The sequence below is a fragment of the Homo sapiens genome, chromosome 12, assembly GCF_000001405.40.
Source record: "Homo sapiens chromosome 12, GRCh38.p14 Primary Assembly".
Taxonomy (NCBI): domain Eukaryota; kingdom Metazoa; phylum Chordata; class Mammalia; order Primates; family Hominidae; genus Homo; species Homo sapiens.
In genome coordinates this window covers 132,502,341-132,521,627 of record NC_000012.12, presented here as the reverse complement: position 1 = coordinate 132,521,627, position 19,287 = coordinate 132,502,341, and the positions used below count along the sequence as shown (strand labels likewise).

General features: G+C 61.1%; 1 protein-coding gene across 24 annotated transcripts in view; it reads right to left on the bottom strand.

Annotated features, from left to right (window-relative positions):
• FBRSL1 (fibrosin like 1) overlaps positions 1-19,287 on the bottom strand; it is a 95,038-nt gene that overhangs the window by 63,561 nt on the left and 12,190 nt on the right. For 20 of the 24 annotated variants that reach the window (XM_011534807.4, XM_005266176.5, NM_001367871.1 and 17 more), the window contains exon 2: positions 13,278-13,475. In XM_011534807.4, coding sequence (XP_011533109.1) covers positions 13,278-13,475 — 198 coding nt within the window. Of the gene's footprint in view, positions 1-9,672; positions 12,463-13,277; positions 13,476-14,239; positions 14,377-16,026; positions 16,223-19,287 lie in introns of those variants that run through there. The other 4 variants (NR_168498.1, NM_001382742.1, XM_011534812.3 and 1 more) reach the window with 4 other exon arrangements.

The window sequence follows — 19,287 nt, the reverse complement described above, 5'->3', positions numbered from 1 at the left end:
CAGACAAGGACTATCCTACAGGGGCATGAACTGAGACTGGCCGGCCACGATGCCTCCAGCCTCTGCACCTGCAGGCCTGGGAGCGAGGGTGAGAGTCGGGGGCTGCCTGGGCTGCTGTTCTAATGCAGACCCTGGAGAACCCTGAGAAGGGGCCTACGGCTTCCTCAGACCTGCCAGGCCAAGGACAGGCCCCCTGGGAGATGGGGCAGAGGTCAGGCCCCCACACCCCCTAGTTGGGCTGGGCCACAGTTCCAGCAGGAGACGGGAACGCGACGCCCCTGCAGAAATGGAGCACAGGTATGCAGAGGCGGAGCTGCCGCCATCCGTGTCTGAGTGGAAATGAGTGTGGACACAGCGCACCCCTGCCCCAGCCCCACAGCCTGCGCTCCCTCCTCCTCGCAGCTCCCGCTTCCTCTTAAGGAGCTGAGCCCCTAGAACATGGCTCCTGGCCCAGTGCAAACAGTGCTCCCTCGGGGAGCTTTCAGGACTCCTGGGCCTCCCCCAGGGACTGGATGTCATGGGTCCAGACTTGAGACTTTCCAAGTTCCCCACCCACCAAGGTTGAGCAGCCTCAGGGGACTGCAGTGGGTGTCCAGCTCCCTGGCTCAGGGCAGGGCAGGGCAGGGCAAAGAGGGAGTGGCTGCTTTCGTCCACAACACTCCATTTCCCCACCTCCCACAGTCCCTACCAGCTCCCAGCTGGTCCTGGTTTCCTGCCTGTTTTGGGAGCCCACAAAGCCGTCCCCGAATCCTGAGAGCAGGTGCCTGGCACAACTGTGGGTGGGTGGTACCTCTCTCCGCTGCCTTCGCTCCCGAAGGGACAGTCCCAGAGCCCTCACAGTGTCCCCAGGCCTGGTTGAGCCATGGATGATGACTATGGGCCCCTCACATTCAGCAAGAGCAGAGCCCGACTCTGGGGCCCCTCTGTCCCGAACCTGCCCAGGCCACAGGGACTTGCAGGCAGATGCTACGCCCTGCCTTCAGCCCTACCACAGTCCCCTGCTGCTACCTCCTGGGGGCTGGGCTCATGTCCCTGGTCGGGAGGAGCCGATGCCGCACCCACAGCACGTGACACCAGCGACTGCATCCTGCTCTGTTTTGTGGACTGTTGTCCCCACCCTCGGGCGTTTGGAGGGCAGGGGCTTTGTGGCAGTCACTGGTGCTGCTCCAGAACTTGTACTCCTAAGGTGAGCCTGATGGGGAAAGGAAGTGACCCAGTTCCGGGGTCAACCTGAGCAGGGGCTGCCTCGGGAAAATTGCCATCTGCAAAGAAAGAGATGGGAGAGCCCTGGGGAGCGTCCCAGACAGCAGGAGCAGCCAGGGAAAGGGAGCTCTCCCACAGCTGCTGGAGGTGTGCAAGGAGGGTGTGCTAGAGGTGTGCAAGGAGGGTTGCTGGAGGGTGCAAGGAGGGTGTGCTGGAGGGGTGCAAGGAGGGTGTGCTGGAGGGGTACAAGGAGGGTTGCTGGAGGGTGCAAGGAGGGTGTGCTGGAGGGGTGCAAGGAGGGGGTGCTGGAGGTGTGCAAGGAGGGTGTGCTGGAGGGGTGCAAGGAGGGGGTGCTGGAGGAGTGCGAGGAAGGCTGTGTACCTGCTGGTGGGGGCACTGGAAGAGGGGCCCAACTTCCTCACCACCCATACACGCTGCCTGCACAGCCTCTGGGCTCTCTTCCACACATACTCAACCTACAACCCTCAGACTGGAAGAGTAGCCACTTTTTTTTTTTTTTTTTTTGAGACAGAGTCTTGCCCAGGCTGGAGTGCAGTGGTGAGATCTTGGCTCACTGCAACCTCTGCCTCCCGGGTTCAAGCGATTCTCTGCCTCAGCCTCTCTAGTAGCTGGGATTACAGGCACTTGCCACCACACTCAGCTAAGTTTTGTATTTTTAGTAGAGATGGGGTTTCACCATCTTGGCCAGACTGGTCTTGAACTCCTGACTTCGTGATCCATTTGCCTTGGCCTCCCAAAGTGCTGGGATTACAGGCGTGAGCCACCGCGCCCAGCCAGGGGTAGCCACTTCTTAGCACCCACAGCTCGAAGCTCAGGCTGGAGTCACATTGAGCTGAAGGCAGCACCTACTGGTGAGGTGTGGCACTGCAGCCCAGCTGTATGAGACTGCATAGCCTATGGGAAGGAGAACGACTCTCAGAGTTGGGAGTGGGGAGTCAGAAGCTCCAGAATGAGGGAAACTCTGTTGTCTGTCTCCAGGACCCTGGTATTAGCAAAGCATGCCATCCCCTCCTCCAGGCTAACACCACGCAGTATGGCTGTGGCCCTGCTTCTTCCTGAAACCGTTCCTGACACTCCATTCACTCCACATGCCAACCAGGCTAGGTAAAGAGCTCCTCCAGGCTCCCACAGTCCCCTAAGTGTCTCTCTAAAAGAGAAGTGGGGTTGCTTGTTTCTGTGTCTCTCTTCAGTAGACTGTAAGCATCCAGTGGGCGGGGCTGTCTTTTATCCTTGCCTACCTAGCACAGGCAGACACAGTAAACAGGGACTCAGGCAATGTTTGGGAGAGACCAAGTGTTCCCTGAGTCAGCACAGTGTCAGGGAGCAGGGTACTGCCCGCCCAGTGCGGGACACTCCAGTACGCTGCTCCACCTTCTTCTATTGTGATTCAGATGGGTGGATGGATGGATGCATGGGTGGATGGATGGACAAACAGGTAGATGAATGGGTGCATGGGTGGATAGATGGACAGACAGGTGGATGGATGGACAGACGGGTGGGTGGGTGGATGGATAGATGCATGGGTGGTTGGATGGACAGATGGGTGGATGATGGATGCATGGGTGGATGGATGGACGGGTAGATGGGTGGATGCATGGGTGGATGGATGGACAGACAGGTAGATGGGTGGATGGATGGATGTGTGGATGTATGGGTGGATGGATGCATGGGGTGAATGATGGATGCCTGAGTGGATGGATGGACAGATGGGTGGATGGAAGGACAGATGGGTGGATGGATGGATGCACGGGTGGATGGACAGATGGGTAGATGGGTGGATGCATGGATAGACGGGTGGATGGATGGACAGATGGGTGGATGGATGGCCAGATGGGTAGATGGATGGATGCACAAGTGGATGGATGGATGGATGCATGCATGCATGGTGGATGGATGGACAGATGGGTGGATGGACACATGGGTGGATGGATGGACAGACGGGTGGATGGATGGATGAGATACACTACAGACGGGTGGATGATGGACGCATGGGTGGATGGATGGACAGACAGGTGGATGGATGGATGAGATACACTACAGATGAGTGGATGATGAATGCGTGGGTGGATGGACAGATGCATGGGTGGCTGGATGGACAGATGGGTGGATGATGGATGCATGGGTAGATGCATGGGTGGATGGATGGACAGACAGGTGGATGATGGACAGATGGGTGGATGGATGGATGAGATACACTACAGATGATATGAGGGATGCTGGCTGAGTTAAGGCCTAGGAAGTGCGTTGCCAGCAGGCTCTTGGGGACACTAGTGTGTGTGGGCAAGTGCAGGTAAGTGTCTGCAAGGCCCTGCCTGTGCAGTCCTGTGTGCCGGAGGAGGGGTGGGAACAGCAGCTATGCTGTGTCAGAGTGGACTCCAGCAGGTGTGTGCCGCCAGCTCTGGAGTTGGGGCCACTGGACTCCTGGCTCCACCACATTTGCCGCCTGGGCTGCATCACTTGGTCTTGCTCAGTTGGCGCCCTGTCCAACAGAAGAATGACCTAATTCAAGCCACTGCCACCCCCTCCTGAACGGCTGCAGCAGCCTCCCGACAGGCGCCACCACCCCCACAACCGTGCTGCCTCCCCCACGAGTTTGTAAAAACACAGGAGCTCACGTTGTTCCCTGGCTTAAAACCCTCAGTGGTTTCCCTCTGTATGAGACCAGGCCCCTCCTTAGCCCTGTCTGCCCACCCCATGCCCGCTCGGCTCCTCAGGCACACGCCACCAGAGGCCTGGGTGGCTACACCCTCTACCCAGAGCGCTCTTCCCTGACCGCCTGGTCTAACGGTGCCTTCTCTCCTTCCCAGGCACAGCTGTGCTCACACTCAGAACAGTCTCCACCCGCTCTGCTGTTGTCCCAGTTATAGTTTAACTTCTCGAGGGCAGCACGGTCACTTGTCTTGTTTGTCACTGCAGCCCCAGGCCCAGAACAGGGGCGGAATGACCAAAAGTACAAAATGGATGCCAGTCGGAAGAGCCTTCCCGACCAGAGTGAGGCTGGGAAAGCAGAGGTGGCCATGCTCGCCCCGGAACGGCTAGCCCCAGGCTGTGGGGAGCAGTGCCTGCTAGGCCCAGGTGCTCAGCCTTCCTCTTCCACTCCCACCTAACAGCACCCTGGCCGGCGTGGCCCCCAGCCCTCCTGAGTGGCCCCTTCCCCTGGACCAACTCTTGGTTTGTAGGAGGGCCCTGTCAGGTGGGAGGAAGCTCTAGGACCCTGTGACCCAGCCTGCTGCTCCCTGCAGGTGGCAGGCCCAGGCCCAGTGTCTAAGGCACTGATTAACTGAGTGCCTCTCTCCACAGGCCCTGCACAGGAGGACCCTTGCCTGGCAACCGGGACAAAGATAAGCCTCTAGCGTCTGGGCCTCAAACCAGCCAGGCTGGGCCCAGGAGGCGGGAGAAATTACTCTGAGAATTCATAATAATAAAAGCAGGAATCGATATCATCATGGCAGCTATGTAGACAGTACAAACCTTGCATGTTAGCTCATTTTATCATCTCAACAACCCGAAAACAAATGAACTATTTAGTAACATCCCCGTTTTACAGACAGGAAAACTGAGGCCCAGAAAGCTGCCCTCCAGGTAATGGCCCAGGGTACAGATTCCACAACAAAGCCAAGCCGCTGGGCTTGAATCCTGGTCCAGCTGCTCACTGTGTGAACCTTGGGCAAGTTATTTACAGGCGGCTTTTTTTCTTCAGCATCCTCATCCGGCAAATGGGAATAGTTACAGGGTTGCAGTTAAACAAGCTGATGCATGTTAACTGGTGGAAATGTGCCTGGTACGATCAGAAAAGACTTCAAGTGTTAGGCTAGGCTGGCGACAGGGTGCTGAGCAGGCTGGGGGAGGTGGCACTGAAGACAGAAAACGTGGACATCCAGAAACTCCATCTAACAGATGTAAGACTCTTCAGATTATCTAAGCCGGGCGTGGTGGTTCACGCCTGTTCCCAGCACTTTGGGAGGCCGAGGTGGGTGGATCACCTGAGGTCAGGAGTTCAAGACCAGCCTGGCCAACATGGTGAAACCCTATCTCTACTAAAAATACAAAAATTAGCTGGGCGTGGTGGCACTTGCCTGTGATCCCAGCTACTCAGGAAGCTGAGGCAGGAGAACTGCTTGAACCCGGGAGGCAGAGCTTGCGCAACATTGTGCCACTGCACTCCAGCCTGGGTGATAGAGCAAGACTCCATCTCAAAAAAAAAAAAAAAAGACTATTCGGATTATCTATTTCATCTTGTGTCAGTTTTGTTTTCCAAGTAATTTGCCCACTTCACCTAAGCTGTTGAATTTGTTGGAATAAAATTGTCCCCATTTCACCTTTTTCGTGTCTATAGTGCCTGTAATGATATTTCCCCTTTTGTTCCTAATATTCATAATTTGTGTTTTCTTTTTCTGATTGATCTAGCTAGGGATTTCTCAACTTTGAAAACACCTTTTGGCATTGTTCATTTCCTCTATTGTCTGTTTCCTACCTTATTAATTTTTTTTTTTTTTTTTTTTTTGAGACGGAGTCTCACTCTGTTGCCCAGGCTGGAGTGCAGTGGCGTGATCTCAGCTCACTGCAACCTCCACCTCCTGGGTTCAAGTGATTGGCATGCCTCAGCCTCCCAAGCAGCTGGGACTACAGGTGTGCGCCACCGTGCCTGGCTAATTTTTTGTATTTTTAGTAGAGACGGGTTTCACCATGTTGGCCAGGCTGGTCTTGAACTCCTGACCTCAAGTGATCCACCCTCCTTGGGGTCCCAAAGTGCTGGGATTACAGGCGTGAGCCACCGCACCTGGCCTGCCTCATTAATTTCTGTATTTCTGTTCTTGTCTATACTATGGCTTTCCTTTATAGGTTTACAAACCTTCCATTTTTTTTTTTTTTTGGTTTCTTAAGGTAAAACCTTAAGATTCTAGACCTTTCTTCTTTTCCCATATAAGCACAAGCTAGTTTTCCTTTAAGGATTGCTTTAGCTGCATCCCATAAATTTTGACGTAGTATTCCTTATTTTCTAGTGAAATTCAGGTCAGAGATTCAGGAGGTGGAAGCTAAGGACCTGCCTGGCTGGGTGTGCTGGGTGGGAGGACAGGGGAGTGAGGAGAGGAGAATGACTGTCAACTTCTAGCCCAGTCATCTGGGTGGTTCCAGGTTCACCCACTGAAATGGGGAAAGACAGAAGCTGGTGTGTCTGGTTTGTCTGTGCCAAGTGAGGGGTGCATCCTGGGTCTCGGCAGGACACTCTGGCCTGATGCATGAGGTCTGGCCTCAAACCATAGAGCCGATGAGGTAGAGGATGAGGAGACAGACAGCAGGCGCCTGGGAACAGCATGGGCATGAGATAAGCACTCACAGAGGGTATATTGTTCTGGACCCCCCACACCTCCCTGCTGTCAGCCTTGTGGTTATTGGGCGCAGAAGCTGCCAGTCTAAACTCAAGTGTTGTAAATGTAAAACACCTGCTGGCTTTCCCAGACTCTACAAAAAAAAGAGTAAAAAAGATGTGACAATTTTTATATAGATTACATTGTTGAAATACTATTTTCAAAGTACATGGAGTGAAACGCAATACTTCATTAAAATGAATTTTACTTATTTCTTCTTAACTCTATATGTGGCTCACATAACACTCCTATTAAACAGTGCTGCCCTAGGAGAGTCCAGGGCCCTACCCACCCCTGCTGGATGAGAAGCTGCACTCTGCCAGGTCCCAGGGTACACCAGGGAGCCCTCTAGGTCGTGTACCGGCCCTAGGAGAGGCTTCGTGCCAAATCCCTGCACCATGGCCGGGACTGTGGCTCAGCATGAAAACCCTTCTTCCTCGGAGTCCCCCCACAGCTTTGCACCGTGGCCGGGCCTGTGGCTCAGCATGGAAACCCTTCCCCCTCGGGGTCTCCCCACAGCTTTGTGAACTGCTAGGGATGTCCCCTATCACTGCAGCTTCTGGCCGGAGGAGGATGGCCGGTGGCCTCGGCCTGGTCAATGCCAGTCCAGCTCAGTCTGGTACTGCGGTCCTGGGCCACCTGGGAAGACGCCAGGGAGGCCAGAGAGATCCTGGGTCAGGCCGCAGCCCTGCTCAGATCCCTCCGAGGCCCCAGGACTCCCCCTGGACTTCTGGGCGGCCCTGGGTCTCCCTTGGGCACCTGCGGGTAGTCCTGCCTTCTGGCCTCTGAACATCCAGGTGCCCCCCCAGCCCCCCACTCATGCCCTCTGTGTCTTTGCCCTCACCACAGTCGCCCAGCATGCTATCCCAGCCTGTCTCCCCACACACGGAGGAGCCGAGCCCTGACGCGAGAACAGAGGCGGAGCTCATCGTCCTCAGTGCCCAGACAAGGATCCCGAATGAGCAAACGGGGAAGGCCCAGGAGGTGGTGTTTCCAACACGCAGGGCAGGGCCTGGGGGAGGGACTGTGGCTATTCACCTGCAGTGAGGGGTCCAGAGAGACGGGGCCCTCGGACGAGGGTCTGCAGGCAGATGCCCACACACCAGGCGTGGATGCTGGGCCAGGTGCCGGGAGCCCACCCACGCTCACACCCCTCCCTCCCTGGGGGCTGCTCAGCGATGGCTCATGGACTTGGCCTGACCTGGGGAGGACCCAAGGGCCTTAGAGCTCCAGGCCCCTCGTGGGGTTGGCCCCACCGCCACAGTCTCAGTGTCACCCATCTTCCAGGAATCCACCCCGACCTCCCCTTCTCCTCCCCCAACAACAAACCAACCACTGCCCTCGTCTGCCGTGGGCTCTGCAGGAACACGCCTCGGCCTCTCCCAGAAGGCTCACGCCCTCCCCATAACCCCTTCTGCAGATGGGAGGGGACCAGCCTGCCTGTGCCAACAACAACAAGGTGGGCAGAGGCCCCCACAGAGGTGACCAGAGGGCTGATGGTCACTAAAGCACTGCACGCAGGCCCCAGTCTCCAGAGGGGTTCCTGAGGCAGCAACAGGGTCTCTGTAGTCGGGCAGCGGGCAGCCTCCCCCAGATCCCCACTGTCACCCCCCGGAAGACACCTCCATCCTCAACCTTCAGGCTGGGCTGCCCCCACCCCCTCTACAGCAGCCAGGACACAAGCCCATCTTCCTGGGCAGGCGCAGCCCCACTGAGTACCAACCCCTTCCAGAAACAAGGGAACAAGCCATGTTCCAACCAGGCCTCAGGCTCCAATCTGCTGCCTGTGATGGGAGCCAAATCCCACTTGCCGGAGGCCTCGCAGGCCCACAGCTGCATCTTCTGGTCAGCAAAGTGAGTCATAAAAATTAGAATTGACCACCAACATTTCAACATTGCCAAATCCAGAGAAACCTGGATTCCCAGCTCTTCAGAAACATCAAAGATCTGGCCACACGAAATCTGCATTTCCCAGGGCGACGCCTGGCAGCAGTGTCCCCACCAGGGCGCGGGCCCCAGGACACAACATGGATGTCCAGCACCATAGCGCCCTGGTGTCTCTGCCCTCCCCATGGCGGCACCCCGACCGCAAGCCAGTGCAGACAGTGGGTTCGAGCTGGAGGCTGCAGGGTCATGGCCAGGCCTCGAGAGCCCCTCTGGGTCCTGAATGTTTCCTCCACGGGTGTCCTCTGCACCCCCAGCTGTTGGCCACAGGGACCCAGGCTGCAGTTTCCAGCTCTCCTCAGCCCTCCCTGGCAGCCTGGCCTTCCCCATTAAGGGGCAGCCAAGTGCCACTGCTCAGCTCCAGCATGGATGGCCCCTCCCCACTCCCTCAGCCCGTTCAGGCCTGCCCCAGACATGGCTCTACTCACTCGGCCCCCTCTGTACTCACAGGAGCCCGGGGGTAGGGGCAGGGGCCTGAAAGTGGAAAGAGGGCAGGAGACTGTTTAAATCATCACTGTTCCCCACGCCTGACAACAGGGACGTCTGAAGGCAACTTCAGCCCCTCTGCGGGGCAATGGCTTGTGTGGGTGACTCTGAGATGGCACCGCCCTCCAAGCCCGCACCCCAAGTGTGCCAGGTCCAGCCTGGAGCTCAGCCAGGGCGCTGCAGCCAGGACTCGGCCCCTCCATGCCCCGGCCTTCCGTGAGCAGAACACAAGCACCTGACAGGCTGTGCAGAGGATGCTGGGCTGAACCATGCTCCCTCACGCGTGCCCAGGCCATGCAGAGGACTCTGAGCTGAACCACCCTCCCTCACCAGTCCCCAGGACACTGATCCCGGGGATGGGTGCCCCCCAGGCATGAGCCGAGAGGGGGGTCTCGACCCCTGTCACACTGGCCCACACAGTAGCCTTGCGGTGGGGGGATCTGGAGGCCGGTGCCCCCATGCTGAGCACAGTACAAACCCCCATTCCAGGCCTCAGATGGGTGGGCAGGAAGGTCAGGAACAGATGCTCCAGGTCTCCCCTCTGTTCGGTCAGAGTGCAATGAATCCCGAGCCAAGCCCAGCACAAAAGCCCTTTGTGGGAATAAATCACGTAAGACACATGCTCGTCTGTTTAAATTACAAACGCTGATGCTGTTATAAAAAATAGTGGCACGGCACTTTTTATTTTCTTTAATCAGAAAAATAAGCCCTGCGCTTCTGGGATGGAGGCCCCAGGTGAGCACCGGAGGAAGGGGCCCGGGTGGGTGGGGAGCGAGGGGGCCCGGAGGCCAAAGCAGATGCTGCACCAGAGGCTGGTCAGGACCCGGGAGGGCCTGCGGGGGTGGGGTCCTCATGAGCAAGTGCGGGGTGCTGGAGGTCAGCAGCTGCCTGGCCTGGGAGCCAGGGACACCCATCCCCTTCCTGACACCTGAGGCAGCCCAGCTGGGCAAGACCAGGCCTGCAGGACCAGAGCCTCCTGTCACGTGGCGCAGGGGTCCAGGTGGTCAACGCTGCTCTCTGGAGGACCACTGGTTAGAGCCTGCCCAGCTCCCCTGAGGTCTGGAGACAGTCAAAGCCCCCCCAAACACCCCCTCCCTTTTGGGCGAGTGGCGTGCCTTGGACTCCAGAAGACTCGAGTGGGGCTGCCTTGAGACCAGGTCCTGAGGGGGTGGCAACACCTGACCACAGGTGGGGGCCGTGGAAGGGGCAGGGATGGGCCCAGGGGTAGCCTTGTAGTGTGAGGTGTGCCCGACCACATGTAGGTCAACAGCCAGACGGGACGCTGCAGGGGACTGTGGGGAAGCCGGGAGAAGGCGCTGCCCACCCTGTGGGGTCCCCCTCGCCTGGAGACCCTGCAGGCAACCCTTCAGTGCATGCCCACGGGGGTGGTGGAGGCAGAGTCCTGAGAGGTGGGGGTGGGAGCCTCCGGGTCCCCTGCAGGTCCTGACCCACCAGATGGGCCCATGTGCCCCCTGTAGCTTGGGGGCCCTGGAGGTGGACACCAGCACCTCCTGACTACCAGGGGGAGGGCCTGGACTGAAACCCACACCTTCACCATTCGCCACTGGGCCACTCTGCAGGAACTGCAGCACCCCACAGATCCTTCATGCCCAGCACGCCACTCACTCTCACACCCTCTCGCACACATGCACACACAGCACGCACACACCAGGCTCACGCGCTCCGCACAGGTGGCACGCCAGGGGCAAGCGTGCACGTAGACTCAGAGATGCAAGGACAGTATTGGCAATTCAGAGGCACAGAAAGACGCTGAGGGGCCCCCAGCAAGGTCCCCGCCCTCAGGGGCTGTGTTCCCCTCCCAGGGCACGCACACCACAGGCAGCAACGCGGGTGGGGGCACTGTGACGCCAGTGGGGGGAGAGGGAGCATGGCGGGGCGGCAGGCAGACGCGGGTTCATCTCTCTTCCTGGTGTGGTGAGCCTCAGCCTGATCGTGGCACTGTAGGGGCTCCCGCCTCTGGCCGAGCCTCAATTTCCAACGACAAACAGCTCAGCCCTGTCTAGACAAGGCCTCAGGCTAGTCCGGCAAAGCATCTCCAGCCCGAAGGGCAATGCGGCCTTGGCCCTTGGGGCCCTGCCAGGGTGCAGATCACACTGGAGTGGGCTGGAAAACCCATATGGGGAGGTGCCTGCAGGCATCAGGCTCCAGGGCTCACAGATGGGGCCTGACGGGCCATCCCGGGGGCACAGGATCGGGTCCACCGGGACCGCAGGGGCCGGCAGGGATGGCCCAGGGCCAGGAGCGAGAGCCGGGGCTGACGGGCCGGCACCAGATCCAATAGGGACCGCCGCGGCTGGCACAGGAGCCCCAGGAGAGGCCGGCAGGGTGGGCCCGGCTGCCCCAGGAGTGAAGGGCGATCGGGAATGGGGAGCAACGGCTGGGGTTTGCAGGGCTTGTTGGGGCCCATGAGCGGCCGCAGGGGCTGGCAGGGCTGCTCTGGGCCCATGAGCGGCCGCTTGGGTGGGCAGGGCTGCTCCGGGCCCATGAGCGGCTGCTTCTGCTGCCTCGGCCGTCCCGGGCCCAGGAGTGAAGGCGTGAGTGGGCCGGGCTGCTCTGGGGCTTCCACTAACCGCTGGGGCTGCCTGGGGCGCAGCAGCGACCGCCGGGGGCGGCTGGGCTGGCCCAGCAGGGACCTTCGGGGCTGGCCGTACTGACACGGGGCTAGGAAGGCCCGCCGGGGGCAGCAGCACTGTCCTGGGAGGAAGCTGGCGGGCCGTCGGCGTGGTCGGAGGGTGAGGAGTGGCCGCGGGGGCTGGTACCGCTGGCACTGGGCTAGCAGCGACCACAGGGGCCGGCTGCGCTGTCCTGAGGATGCCCTACCGGGCTGGCCACAGTGACACGGGCTGGCCCACGGCCGCAGGGGTCGGCAGCGGTGCCACAGGGTCAGCAGGGACCGCAGGCGCCTGCAGCGGTGCCTTGGGGCCAGGAGGAACCGCAGGCGCCGGCAGTAGAGGCAGGGGACCAGGAGGGACCGTGGGGCCAGGAGGGACCGCAGGCGCCGGCAGTGGTGACACGGGGTCAGCAGGGACCGCAGGCGCCTGCAGCACTGCCTGGGGCCTGGGAGTGCCCAATGCGGCCGGCAGGGCTGGGCCGGGCGTGACCGCTGGGGCTGGCAGAGCTGATCTGGGGATGGAAGGAGCCGCTGGGGCCGGCAGGGCTGACCGGGGCCCAGAAGTGACCGCCGGGGCTGGCAGGGCTGTTTCAGGCCCAGAAGTGACCGCTGGGGCCAGCTGCGCTGACCCAGGAGTGGCCGCTGGGAGGGCTGGCAGGGCTGCCCAGGGTCCGGGAGTGCCGACGGGGCTGGGAGGGACCCCTGGGGCTGGCTGGACTGGCTGGGCTGGAGCTGTTGCTGGCGCTGGGCCGGGCCGTTCTGGTCCCAGTGGCTGGCTGGGAGCGGCCCCCCTTCTGGGGAGCACACCTGCATGGAAGAAAGAGCACGTGTCCACCTGGGCAGGTGTCACCGCCCGCGGAACCCCCGTCCAGCCCGGGCCCAGGAGGCATGCTGCCCTTCTCCAGCAGCCCAATTCCCAAGGGGGCCGAGGAGAGCCGAGGACACCGCGCAGAGCCCCACCCTGGAAGGAAGGCGCACACCAGCGGACCCCCGCGGAGGAAGCAGCTGCAGGCTGAGCTGCACCCAGGACAGAGCCCCACGCGCTGGGGAAGCCCCCACCTGCTCTGACAGCCCCTCCTGGGCAGGAGGCCCCTGGGCAGGGCAGGCAGAGCCCTGTTCCCAGCTGGGCCACGCACCTGACCACTGACCACAGTCACGTGCCTGCAGCCACTGCCGGGACCAAGTATTCCCTTCCCCACGCCGCACACGTGAGCGGATGGCGCTGCGTGTGGACAGGACAGCCCTCGGCAATGAGCCTGGACCCCCTCCTTATAGACACTCTGGACACCTGTAGTCGGCGGAGCCTGATGGACACGGCAGGGAAACGGGGCCGGCCTATCAGCTTGGCGCCCCAGCCCGGAACGCGCGCCTTGCTGCCCCAGACAGGCACCTCTCCTGCTGTGGCCCTGGGCACGTCACGGCCCCTCCGTGACCCAGCCGGCTCCTGCCTCTGCTAGGCCCCAGCCCTGTCCACGTGTCCTGCACCCCAAGCCTGACAACGATGGGCGCGCTGCCAGGCAGGCCCGGGGGCCACGTGGCGTGGTGTCCAGGTGCTGGCATGGCCCTGGGGCGGTGAGCACTGACCCGCCGCAGAGCTTCCGGTCGGGGAGGGACCTGCTCACCTGCTTGGAGGGCTGCAGTGGGACCTTTCTCGCCCCATCGCAGGCGGGTTCGAGGTCCTGCCCGGGGCTGCCTGCCTCCAGGGGCCGCCTGTTCTCACTGGGCTCCGCAGGGGGGCAGGTTTCCGACTCCCGGGGCTTCTTGATGAGACGACGCTCCCACTTCTCCTTCCGCTCATGTGGCTTCAGGGCCATATCCTTCTGCAGGGAGACAGGGAAACGCCAGTTAATTGGCGGGACCCCAGGGCCTTGGGCCCAGGACAGCACCCACCTGAGCAGCTCTTGGGAAGGAGCCTCCCCACTTGGGAGGGGCACCTCAGAGGGAAAGGAAGATGGCTGCTGTGGGACGGGGGATGGGAGGGGAAGGACGATGGCAGGTGAGATGCTGCTGCGGGATGGGGGATGGGAGTTTCCCAGGGCTCAGCCATCGAAGGGGCCAGACGAGAAAAAGCTTAGTCCAGCAGGGAGTCTCCAGTAAGCTTCACAGGAGGCCAGCCCAGGGCTGCCCAGGACTGCCCCTCCCTGCTGAGACCAGGGCTACCTTTCAAGAGCGAGTGCCCTGCAGTGGGGGCCAGGGACCACAGGAGCCTCTCCAGGGGACACCCAGGCCCCACAAGAAGTGCTCCCCCAGGTGACAGCCCACAGGAAGTGCTCCCCCAGGTGACACCATATTCCAGAGGGCCTGAGGGGTTCTGGCCAGTGCTCCCAGACGGGTCTGTGGATTTGGGACAGAGATGCTTCCCCGTGTTCACCTTTGGGCTACCAGACCCTGGGGACACCCCCAGGCCCCCTGTAAACCTGCTGGCCTCCCCTGGTCCCCTCTCGTCCCATCTCGACTCCTTCAGAGCACCTTCTAGCCTGCGGACAGCCCCAGGACACTCCAGCCTCCGCCCTGCCGGTGGACATCGGGCAGCCCCAGGTTCTGGGGTCCCCACCTCCACACTCGATAAACCACTAGTAAGCACCTTCTGTATGCTGGCTCAGCTCCTGGCACCAGGGCTGGTGCAGACAGATACGGCGCGTCAAGTTTAGGGTCCAGAGGAGCCAGCCGGCCAGGGAGAAGCGTCCACGAAAGGACAGAATCCTCTCGGGGAGGGCACAGCTGTGAGGAAAACAGCAGCAGTGAAGCCCAGGACAGAACCCATGTCAGAGCTGCTGCCAAGAACCCTGGGAAGCCACTGGGGAGGATCCGCCCCCACGGAGGGCCACAGTGTCCCCGAGGAGGACCCGCCCCCGCATAGAGCCATGGTGTCCCTGGGGAGAAGGACCTTGGCTGTCCCTCCGGTAAGGGCAGACGACAGAGACAAGAGCCATGGTGGTGCCGGCCACGCCCTCTCCGGCTGGGCGCCCGCCCCATGACACAAGCGCCACCCCCACCAGTCTGAGCTGGAGGCCCTGAGAGGCCCAGCAGCGTTTCCGGGCCCCCTGCCCACGAGGGCTGATCCTGTCACTCCAACTCTTTGCTGTTTCCGGCTCCAGGAAGACTCCTTGCCTCCCCGAGGCCCAGCTCCCGCCATATGCTCTCTGCAGAGCCACCACTCAAGGCCCAGAGCCCTGCTGTGAGCGGCCTGCTCCTGCACAAGCCCGAGAGCCCATGGCCTCCAGAGTTCCTGCTCGCCCACCCAGGATCTGTCAGGGCTGCCCATCCCAGGCAGCTGTGGACGCAATCTGCTAACACTGCAGAAACGGTTCCCAGTGAGCTCTGAGGGTCTCAGCCTGGATGAATCAAAGGCTGCAGCCCAGAGAACGGCTGTTTGCAGCGCTGGATCAAAAGCAGGAACAAATCAAGGTGTTACCTTTCACAGTAACTAGGAAACCTGCAAGGGCAGCCTGCCACGCAGGGCACCACTGTGCTGGGATTTGTCTTTCTACTGGGCAAAGAGTCAGAGGGGACAGGCAGAGGGCAGATCTGAGGAGGCGGGACCGGGTGGTACCCTCGGGGCACAGACGCTCCCCCAGGCCCGCTCCACACCTCTCCCCATTGCCACAGTGCTCACAGCTGGCCAGAAGGACGCATGTGTCAAGGGCAAATTGTTTAAATTTACCACATTTTCTGTAAACCTGCTCTAGTGTTACTCTGCTTTCAAAAAAATATAAAGATTTCTGCCGGCCCCTCCTCCCATCCACAGACCCACCCTCCAGCTCCCTCCCCACCCCGGCCACAGTCACACCAAGCACAAGGCAGTTTCCTGTCCCGTCTGACCCCCACCAGAATGTCCATCTGTCCTGCCCCCTGCTCAGCCCCAGACAGGGCTCACAAGTGCTGCTGAGTGAACATTCTAGAGAACAGACAGCATGGGGTGGGTGCCCACACCGAGGAGGAGAGGCCTCCGACATCTCCGGCTCCAGGCGCAGCCCCTGTGCCCACACACCCCCAGCCAGCACTGCAGCCACGCTCACTGCAGAGAACAGAGGCCATTCCCAGGAAGCTCTGGGAGGGCTGTCCCAGCACTCTGCTCTTGAGATGCCAGCCAGCGCTTCGCCTGCTACCTTAAGACGGTGGGAAAGGTACCCAGGCCTGGGAGAGCCGTGCGGCTGGCCCCTCTGCTGGTCACTCCGGGGCTTTCCAGGGTAAGGCTGGCCCTGTGGGCTTCGCCTGGCAGGTTTCAGAGGCCCCACAGCAACGCCACAGCACTGCCCTGCCCAGCTGCTGAGAGAGGCACGACCAAGGAGGCCCAGGCAGGGGCCCTTGCCAGCCCCACCGCTGCACCCAACACCCCACTCTGCCCAGTCGCTCAGTCACTCCACGTACACCTGAGGGGTTGGTGGTGCAGCTCAGAGACCATACAGCGTCCCGTCCAAGGCCACCATGACAGGCAGCAGCGTGGTCACCCCCGCTCCTGTGAGGACCAGAGTTCCCCTTGGGGCAGACCACGGGTGGGGGTGGGGCCGGGACAGGAGTCCAGGCCAGACGGGGGGCAGTCCCCAGGGACTGAGGGACAGTGCGTGCCCTGGGCAGCCCCAGTGTCCTCATTTGTAAGCTAGGCAACAGCCCCACCCCATGGGCGGTGCCAACCACCACACCCCAAGGATGCCTGGGCTCCGTGGAAGGAAGGGCCCAGAAGGTTCGCATGGGGAAGTGACATGAGCTCCGGGTGGGGGCCCTGCACCAAGCCAAGGAGACCAGCAGCGGCCGCGCTCACCCACTTCATCGTGTTCACCGCAGTGAGGTCTGTGCCAGGTGCTCTGCTAAGTGGTGGGTCAGGCCCCGCTTATCTTTTTGTTTTTGAGATGGAGTCTCACTGTGCTGCCCAGGCTGGAGTGCAGTGGCACAATCTTGGCTCACTGCAACTTCTGCATCCCGGGTTTAAGCAATTCTCCTGCCTCAGCCTCCTGAGCAGCTGGGATTACAGGTCACCACGCCCAGCTAATTTTTTTGTGTTTTTACTAGAGACAGAATTTCACCATGTTGGCCAGGCTGGTCTCAAACTCCTGACCTCAGGTGATCCGCCCACCTCAGCCCCCCAGAGTGCTGGGATTACAGGCGTGAGCCACCGTGCCTGGCCTGGGCCCCGCTTATCTAATCCACACAAACAGGACCCCATGAGTTGGTCGCAGTGACCACCCCAGTGTCGAATGAAGACACAAGAGACACAGAGAGGCCTGGAAAGGCTCCAGGAGCTGTCCCCAGCACCACCCACCACCCAGCCCAGCCCTGGGGTGCCAGCCAGGGCCGCCTCAGGCCACTGTCCCAGCTGCAGGAACCCCTGCTAGGCTGAGGCAGCGGAGGCCTTGAACCCCCCACAGGTGTGCAGTGCACACCTGGGTCAGCACCCGTGGCACCACACCTGCGCACACAGGGGCCCTCCAAGAAGGCGCGGTGGAGGCCCTCCCTGCGCAACGCCACTGCCCTGCAGTGGCGCCAGCACCCCCAGTAGTGGCTAGGGCCCCAGACCTCCCTGCTCCTCTCCCAGGAGGACCACCAGGGCTGGGCGCAGGCTGCCGTGACATTGCTAGACAGATTTTCCTGTAGCAATTCTATGCGACTGCTTTTGGCTCTCTTAATGTCATTACCATACAGCACCAATAACATTCCTAATCACGCTACAGTGAACCAGACACGGAGAGATAAAATAATTCTACCTCAGCACACACAGAGCCCTGCTGCCCCTCTTTGGGACGGGGCTGCCTGTTTGCACCAAGGCCTGGCCCACCCCCTGCAGCCAGGTGGCCACGCCCTGCTCCTGAAACCACAGCAAGGGCCTCTCCCCTCCTTGGCACCAGGCAGGAGGCTCTGGAGAACCACCTACCCAAGACCTCACCTCCCTGGCAGGCCCCTCTGCTTCCCACCTAGAGTGATGACCATGTTCCCCTGGGCAAAGTCAGGCCTGGAACCCCCAGGGATCTTCTCAGATGGGTCAGAAGCTGCTCTCCATGGGGGCAGGGGGCTGAGGGAGCCCCCAGGGGTCTTCTCGGATGGGTTGGAAGCTGCTCTCCAGTGGGGGCAGGAGGCTGAGGGAGGCTGCAGCTGCTTGGCTCCCAGAACCTTGTTGGCTCACACCTTCGTCAGGCTTGTCTCTGTCATTCCAAGAGCTCAGGCCCAAAGCCCAGAGCCTCTGACTCTCAACTGTGTTCAGTCTGTGTGCAAACCCCACAGCTCTCCCTGCAGAGCACCTGAAAATCTGCTCAGCACCCAGCTGGCATGGCTGCCTCCCATACCCGGGACCTGTGGTGGCCTGTGCCCCGACATCCTCTCTGCCTTGGGTCAAAAGCTGAACAGAAACTGGCACAGGAGACCCTACAGGGAGGCCCACCCATGGCCCCGTGTGGGGACTGGGTCTAATTACCCCTCCAGCTGCGAAGGTGGGAACGGGACCCTTTCCCACCATGACCCATCTCCCCCATGGCTCACACTCACCTGGTGGGCGACAGCCCCCACATCTCCCCCCGCCCAGGGCGTCCCATGTCCAATGTCGCCTTGGCCGGTTTTTTCTGATGGGGACCCCACATCACGCACCCACAGAAACTGCCCCGGCAAGCCTCACTGACACCTCACTTGTTCCAGAGGCCTCCAGGTCGTGCCCAGCTGCTCCTATGGCCTCCAGGATGTGGTCCTGCGGGCTTGCGGCTCTCGCCTAGCAACGGACCAGCAGCTGGGAGCTGGGCTGCCCCTGCAGGACCACCAAAAGCATGGTGGCTGCTGCCTCTCGGGGCTGGCTGACATTCCCAAGCACCCAGTGAGGGCATGTGGCTGCACTCTAGGGGCAAGGAGGTAGGGTCAGGGCTCCTGGGGGGTGGGGTGGGAGGCGGGGCACTGTGAGGCCCAGCTTGGCCGTTACTGCTGCACTCCACCCCTTGGGAGCTATGGAGGCTGTGGCCTGGCCCTGTGCGGGCCGGGAAGAGCTACCTGCAGACAAGTCGGAGACCCAGACCATTGGTGACGGTGTCATGGAGAACAGCAGTGCTGCCTGGGATGGAGTGGTGCCAGGACGGGTGTGAATGCAGGGGGCACGGCAGGTGGACAGGAGAGGGCGGGGACAGGAGAGGGTGAGAACAGGAGGGGGCGGGGACAGGAGAGGGTGAGGACAGGAGGGGGCGGGGACAGGAGGGGGCGGGGACAGGAGAGGGCAGGGACGGTAGGGGGCGGGGACAGGAGGGGGCGGGGACAGGCAGGCATGGGGATAGCGGGCTCGAGGCCTGAAGCAGGGAGGTGGGGGATGGTGTAAGGGGCAGGCTGGTGTGAGGACTGCAGTGGAGCTACTGCTTGGCCCTGGTTTTATCCCAGGGTTCCAGTCCAGCCACGCCTGGAGAACCGTCTGATAGGGGCTGAGCCTGGAGGGTGAAAGAGGCTGCCCAGTCACCCTCTGACCAGCCCGACTGGGAGGCCACTGTCACGTGCCAGGCCTGGAGGTCAGTCCTGCTGTGCACTCGGACGTTCCTCCCTCCAGCTCCGATTTACTGGAAGACCACGGATCACACCTGGCTGTGGCCCGCAGTCTCACCCTTCAAACCAAAGGCCTTCCGCAGGATTCCTCTGGGTGGCCATAAGGGCCGGGGGTGGAGGGCTGAGGTG